Source organism: Homo sapiens, chromosome Y (genome assembly GCF_000001405.40).
Source record: "Homo sapiens chromosome Y, GRCh38.p14 Primary Assembly".
Taxonomy (NCBI): Eukaryota; Metazoa; Chordata; class Mammalia; order Primates; family Hominidae; genus Homo; species Homo sapiens.
Window position 1 is genome coordinate 24,739,592 of NC_000024.10, and position 6,593 is coordinate 24,746,184.

At 35.8% G+C, this 6,593-nt stretch overlaps 1 long non-coding RNA gene across 2 annotated transcripts; it reads right to left on the minus strand.

Annotated features, from left to right (window-relative positions):
- Nucleotides 1-527: 527 nt before the first annotated feature.
- On the minus strand, nt 528-3,869 carry LOC105377241 (uncharacterized). 2 transcript variants are annotated; one of them, XR_938670.2, is made up of 3 exons: nt 3,687-3,869; nt 2,987-3,024; nt 528-628 (listed from the first exon to the last, which is right to left on the minus strand). It is a non-coding gene; the product is annotated as an uncharacterized LOC105377241 (long non-coding RNA). The 2 variants fall into 2 exon arrangements; XR_938669.2 differs by having other exon boundaries at nt 2,960-3,024.
- Nucleotides 3,870-6,593: the final 2,724 nt, after the last annotated feature.

The window sequence follows — 6,593 nt, forward strand, 5'->3', positions numbered from 1 at the left end:
ACCCAATGGTAAAAAGCAGAAAGCTTTTCTTCTATGATCAGGAACAAGGGTGCCCACACTCACCACTTCTATTGTGCATAGTACCACAAGTGCTACCTAGAGCAGTTAGGCAAGAAAAAGAAATAAAAAATATCCAAATCAGAAAGGAAGAAGCAAAATTGTCTCCGTAGATGACATGACCTTGTATACAGAAACTCCACCAAAAAACTGTTAGACCTAAAAAGAGAATTCAGTAAAGTTCCAGAATACCAAAATCAACATTAAAATTGAATTGCAATTCTTTCATTATTATTATTATTATTATTATTATTATACTTTAAGTTTTAGGGTACATGTGCACAACGTGCAGGTTTGTTACATATGTATACATGTGCCATGTTGGTGTGCTGCACCCATTAACTCCAACAATGATAGACTGGATTAAGAAAATGTGGCACATATACACCATGGAATACTATGCTGCCATAAAAAATGATGAGTTCATGTCCTTTGTAGAGACATGGATGAAGCTGGAAACCATCATTCTCAGCAAACTATCGCAAGGACAAAAAACCAAACACCGCACGTTCTCAATCACTGGTGGGAATTGAACAATGAATTGCACTTCTATACAGCACCAACAAATTATCTGAAAAAGAAAGAAAGAAAACAATCCTACTTACAATAGCAACAAGCACAATAAAATTACTTAGGAATACATTTAACCAAGAAGTTTAAATATCAGCATATAAAACACTGAGAAAATAAATTGAAGATGACACAAATAAAAAGAAAGACATCACATGTTCATGTATCAGAATTAATATTATTAAAATATCCATACTACCCAAGGTGATCTATAGGTTCATTGCAAACTCTATCAAAATTCCAATGGCAGCATTCTTCACAGATAGAGAAAAAATAATTCTAAGATTCATATGGAACCACAAAAAAACCTGACCAAAGCAATCTTGAGAAAGAAGAGCGAAGCTGGAGGCATCACATTTCCTGATTTCAAACTATGTTACAAAGCTATGTTAATCTAAAGAGTATGGTACTGGCATAAAAACAAACACATAGACTAATAGAACATCATGAGTTTGAATGGTACAGGTCCACTTATATGTGAATTTTCTTCTGTTTCTGTCACATCTGAGACAGCAAGACCAATCCTCCTCTTCCTTCTCTTCCTCAGTCTACCCAATAGGAACACAAGGAGTATGAAGACCTCTCCGCTTTGACTTAAGGAATAGTAAATATATTTTCTTTTCCTTATGATTTTCTTAATAACACCATCTTTTCTATAGTTTACTTTAGCGTACAAATACAGTATATAATACATATACAAAATACATGTTAATCAAGTGTTTACGTTATTGGTAAGGCTATTGGTCAATAGTAGGCTATTAGTAGTTAAGCTTTTGGAGAATCAAGTTTTAAGGCCAAGGTAATTCAAGGCCCAGTCTGGGAAACATAGTGAGACCCCATGCCTTAAGAAAAAGTTATATGCTGATTTGCGACTATGCAGGGGTCAGTGCTCAAACTCCACGCTGTTCAAGGGTCAACAGTGTATTATATGCAGAATATAAGAGAGTTGAACTCATCAAAACATAGAGTACCATGGCAGTTGCCAGGGAATGGCGGTGGGGGAAATGGGTAGATTTTGACCAAAGGGGACAAACTTTCAGTTATAAGATGAGCAATTTCTGAGAATCTAATGTATAGCATGGGTGATAATGTATGTATTAATTAATTTGATTGTAGTAATTATACAATGTATTAGGTTGGTGCAAACTAATTGCACCAACCTAATTTAGGCATATCAAATAATTGCATTGTACACCTTGAGTATATACGCTCTTTGTCAATTAAATAAATAAAAATAAAAATGGTCAGATGAGTTTAATAATTAAGAATCTGAAAGAGGGAAAAGTCAGTTAGAATTTTGCTTGTAGTTACAGAATAGAGCCAAATATGTAAAATTTCCCTGTTCAATTAAAAATCACTAAAAAACTAACACTAATATGAATGTATGCTAATTCTGCAATGGTTTTGTACAGTGTGGTCATCTACAAGTTCAAATGCTACACAAGTATTCAAAAAATCATTGGGAAAGTGTTTCTAGTCTAATGCTAAGTGAGTAAAGGAGACTGAAAAATTGTGCCTAAACCTATGGGTGACAACTTTCCTTCTCACTATTAAAACTTGTTTCGAGCAATACTTTGTAATAAAATAGGAATGGAAACATTTTAAGGCTATTAACTTTTAATCAATGACTTAAAGACAGTCACTTATTTTTTTTTCTAAACTATTCAAAACCTAAACAGGTGGTATGGAGGAAAGACCTGCACTTTTTGAGGAGTTTGAATAATCAGGCAATTGACCACATCAAACAAATTAATCTCTAGGGAGAGGCTGAAAATCCCTTCTCCAAAATGCTTGAAACCAGAAGTGTTTCGGATTTGGCGGTTTTTTTGTTTGTTTGTTTTTGATTTTGATTTTGGAATATTTGCATATATATAATGAGATATCTGGGAGTGAGACCCAAATCTAAACATGGAATTCATTTATGTTTCATATATACCTTAGGCACATAGTCTGAAAGTAATTTTATACAACACCTTAAATAATTTTGTCTATGAAACAATGTTTTTGTACACTGAACCATCTGAAAGCAAAGGTTTCACTATCTCATATTAGCACTGAAAAACTTTCAGATTCAGGGGCATTTCTGGATTTGGGATTTTTGTATTAGGATGCACACATCCTGTACTGATTTTAAAAGAAGGCTTTCCTGGGAATGATGCAGCCCAATAGAAATGGCAACTACCATTAAAAGCAAAAAGCTAGATTGAAATATTATCAGAATAAGTTGCCACATCACTCATTATTCACTAAAACACTTCTATTCAAAAGGCCCAATTTTTGTAGATTCCTGAAGTAGGACTTGACACCAGGTATCACAAATTTACAAACTTACCACTTCAGCGTTTTAAAACTTTCTTACCAGGATCCCTGGTCTTCTGGGTGCCATGGAAACTCCAACTAGAAAAGAAAATGAAATTCCCTTCGGCTGGAAACTGTTCGTGTCATTCCTGAGCCCCCCTAGGTGTCTGTTGTAGATTATATAAGCTGCAGTTCGCAAATGCACTTTGCATTTGTTCCACAAACCCTGTTGAATGCTTGTTTTGTAGGAGGTTCCACATGCTGGGCAAAGAAGAATGAATAAAACACAGTCTCTGCCCTGGAAGAATTTACAAAGAAATAGTGGTACTACAGGTGCTGTGGAACAGCACAGAGTGTGTAAATGTTAGCTTAATGGTATCTTTCTAACATCAAACTTTTTTATTTCTTCTGTTTTCACACTCTCATTGCAAAAAACTCAAACAATTCAGAAAAGAATAAAGAAGAAAATTTAAAACTCTTTGAAATCCTACCATCAAGTAATAAGCATTGCTAACATTTGATGAACATCTTTCTTAAGCATTCATGTACTAAAAAAATGAGAATTACACCCTAAACGCTATTTTTATAAACTCAGTGCTATTTTTCAACATTCCTTTTCCTAATCAGGAGCATGTAGTAGATCTCATGAGATGCTGCATCTTTTTCTTAATGTGATGTCAGCTATTATCATTTATATGCATTGGCCTGTCATAAAAGTCTGCAGAATCTAACTAAAGCCACCTAGGTTCATTCACCTCTACCTTATCTTGCAGGTGCTGCCTCTTGTCCCAGTGTGGAAGGAACCCTGACCTTGCAATTGAAAGGCCTTGCTTCTGGTGCTGACCACGTTCTGACCCTCAGCCATCCCTTAAACCTCCCTAAGTTCCAATGTTCTCTTCTGTAAAACGAGGGTTGTAAATATTTGCCCTGCCTGCCTTCTTCCCACTGGCTATTCCCTCTGCCAAAAACTGGGCTACTTGACCTCCAGGAAGCTTGCATATGTGTCACTCTTTATTCTCCTTATCATCTTTCTCCTTCACTAGAACATAAAGCACTACAAGGGCAAACATTTTTGTATGCTTTGTTTCCCGATATTTCTGTCTAGAACAATGTCTAGTGTAGTAGATGACAAACAAATGCTTGCTGAATTAATTGGACAGAGCTGAACAGAGAATGGGAGGTGGGAAGACTGCCTCGCCACACAACTCTGGGGGAATCCTTCACATTGTAGTCCATGTGATGGCATCTCCTGGAAGTGTGCAACTGCACAGGCTTCACAGCTGTGCGGCAACCCCAACAACAACCGTGGAAGTACTCTGTCAAAGAGTATGAATTATTAAATAAAAATATTTTTTCTAGTAATGAAAAAATGTGAAAACAAATAAAGGAAAAAAATCATCTCAAATTCTTCAACCTAGTGATAATATCTTCGTTAGTATTTGCTGAACATCCTTCTAGACACTTCTCTACTGATATATATATATATATATATATATATATATATATATATATCAATCTTCATTTTGCATAAGTGACATCATACCATAAATGCTATACTAGTATCTGCTTTTGTTTTTGCCCAATAGTATATTATAATCAGCTCTCTTTGTCAGTAAATACAAATCCATATCATCTCTGTAAACCAGGGGTCTGCAAATTAAGGCTCATAAGCCAATTCCACCTGGGTTTTGTGTTTTTTTTTTTTTTGGTAAATTAACAAAGTTTTATTGGAACATGAATGTGCTGATTCCTTTATGTACTATCTATGCCCATTGCTGTGCTACAATAGCAGAATCGATTATTTCTGACAGACACCATATGGCCCACAAATCTACAATACTTACTATCTATTCTTTTCCAGAAAAGTTTACCAGCCCTGCTTCGTAGCTGAGTATTAAATGGTATGAAAATACTCTATTTGAATTATTCCTCTATCAGAACATATTTACCTTGTTCCAATTTTTGTTGATAAATACGTCGTATACACATCTTTCAACTCATATCCAGTACATCACCTTGAGATAACTTCCTAGAAGTGGATTGGCTGGGCCAGACATGAACTCTATAAAGGTTCTTGATACACATGATTAAAATGCCCATGGCATGGAACCCTCATCTATTTCTGTGCTTTTGTATTTTCTGTGTGTATTTCAGTTTTGTTTAGTTGGCTCAAGTAAAATTAGTTCCTTTTGAAAACGTTCAGCTTGTATGAACTCAACTAAGGGTACCAGGAATTTCCATCCGCAACCCAGCCAGGAGTTTGCCAGAGGCCAGGAGAGCTCCTGTCCAGGCAGCTCCAAAGAGGCCAGGGGTCTGGTGAGGAATGGAGAAGAGCACGACTGAAAACTTAGAAGAGAGCAGCCAGGGACTGATGCCAGATCCGTTGACCCTGTCAAAAGATCTGAACTCTGCCCCACATTTGTCCTTTTGACCCCATCGAGTTAACCAGGAGTTTAGCCATCCATGCTCCACACAACTGTAGCTTTTCTTCTTCTTCTGTGCACCTATAACTCTGTCTCATTAGATTGCTCTGAAGTTTGTTATTGATTATCTAGGAAATAAATACAACCAACTTTTTGCCTATTTCCCAATTGTTACGGCTGGTAGAAATAATCAGCATAAAATAAAACTGACAACAGATGATACCACACATGGCAACAATGCTATTGGTTAAAAATGGAAAGAAGGCTCGCATCCTTTTGATAAAATGCATTCAAATTTTATTTTTTGTTTTTGTTTTTATTTTTTATTTCGATAGCTTTAGGGGTGCACGTGGTTTTTTGTTACATGGATGAATTGTATAGTGGTGAAGTCTGAAATTTTAGTGCACCCATCACCTGAGTAGTGTATATCGTACCCAATATGCAGCTTTTAGCCCTCATGCCTCACCCACCTTCTCCCCCTTTTGATTCTCTGATGTCCATTGTATAACTCTGAATGTCTTTGTGTCCTTATAGCTTAGCTCTCACTTATAACTGAGAACACATGGTTTCTGCATCTCCATTCTTAAGTTACTTCATTTGGAATAATGGCCTCCAGTTACACCCAAGTTGCTGCAAAAGACATTTTCTTTACATTTAGACTTGCAAAATTTGATGTCAGAGAGATTTGGATTTGGAAAACAAAAGCAAAAATTGCAGTGGTTGAAACTAAATAAGGAAAAATTAATGTGATACAAAAAAACTGATCAATGAATCTAATTTGTGTAAAAACAATGAAAATAAGGAAAGAATTGCAGTGAAAAGAAAGTTCAGTGAAATAAAATTAAACACAGCAAACATGGAAACTGGCTTTGCTGCATGGTACAGAATACAATCAAGGGATTAAATTGGCTTGAGATTGTGCTGGAAAATATTTTCTTGATGGAAAGCCACCTATGTTGGGGATGAAATTTCTTTAAACCGACAGCTAGACAAATAACTTTCTACTCATTATTGGACTTCTATAGTCAATTTTTCACAAGAATGTTGGAGTCTCTGAAATCACTAAAGCCCCAGTAAAAAGGAAAATGGAATCTCCTATCAGTTGCTGTATGTAGAACCTCTTTTGTAAGCAAGTGGCAGCCAATGTTAACACTTCTCACACTGACCTTAACAATTCTTAGAATATTAAAAAAATTCTGCACAGAAATTAAGTATTATGTACTTATTTCTAACAATTCCAAGGAG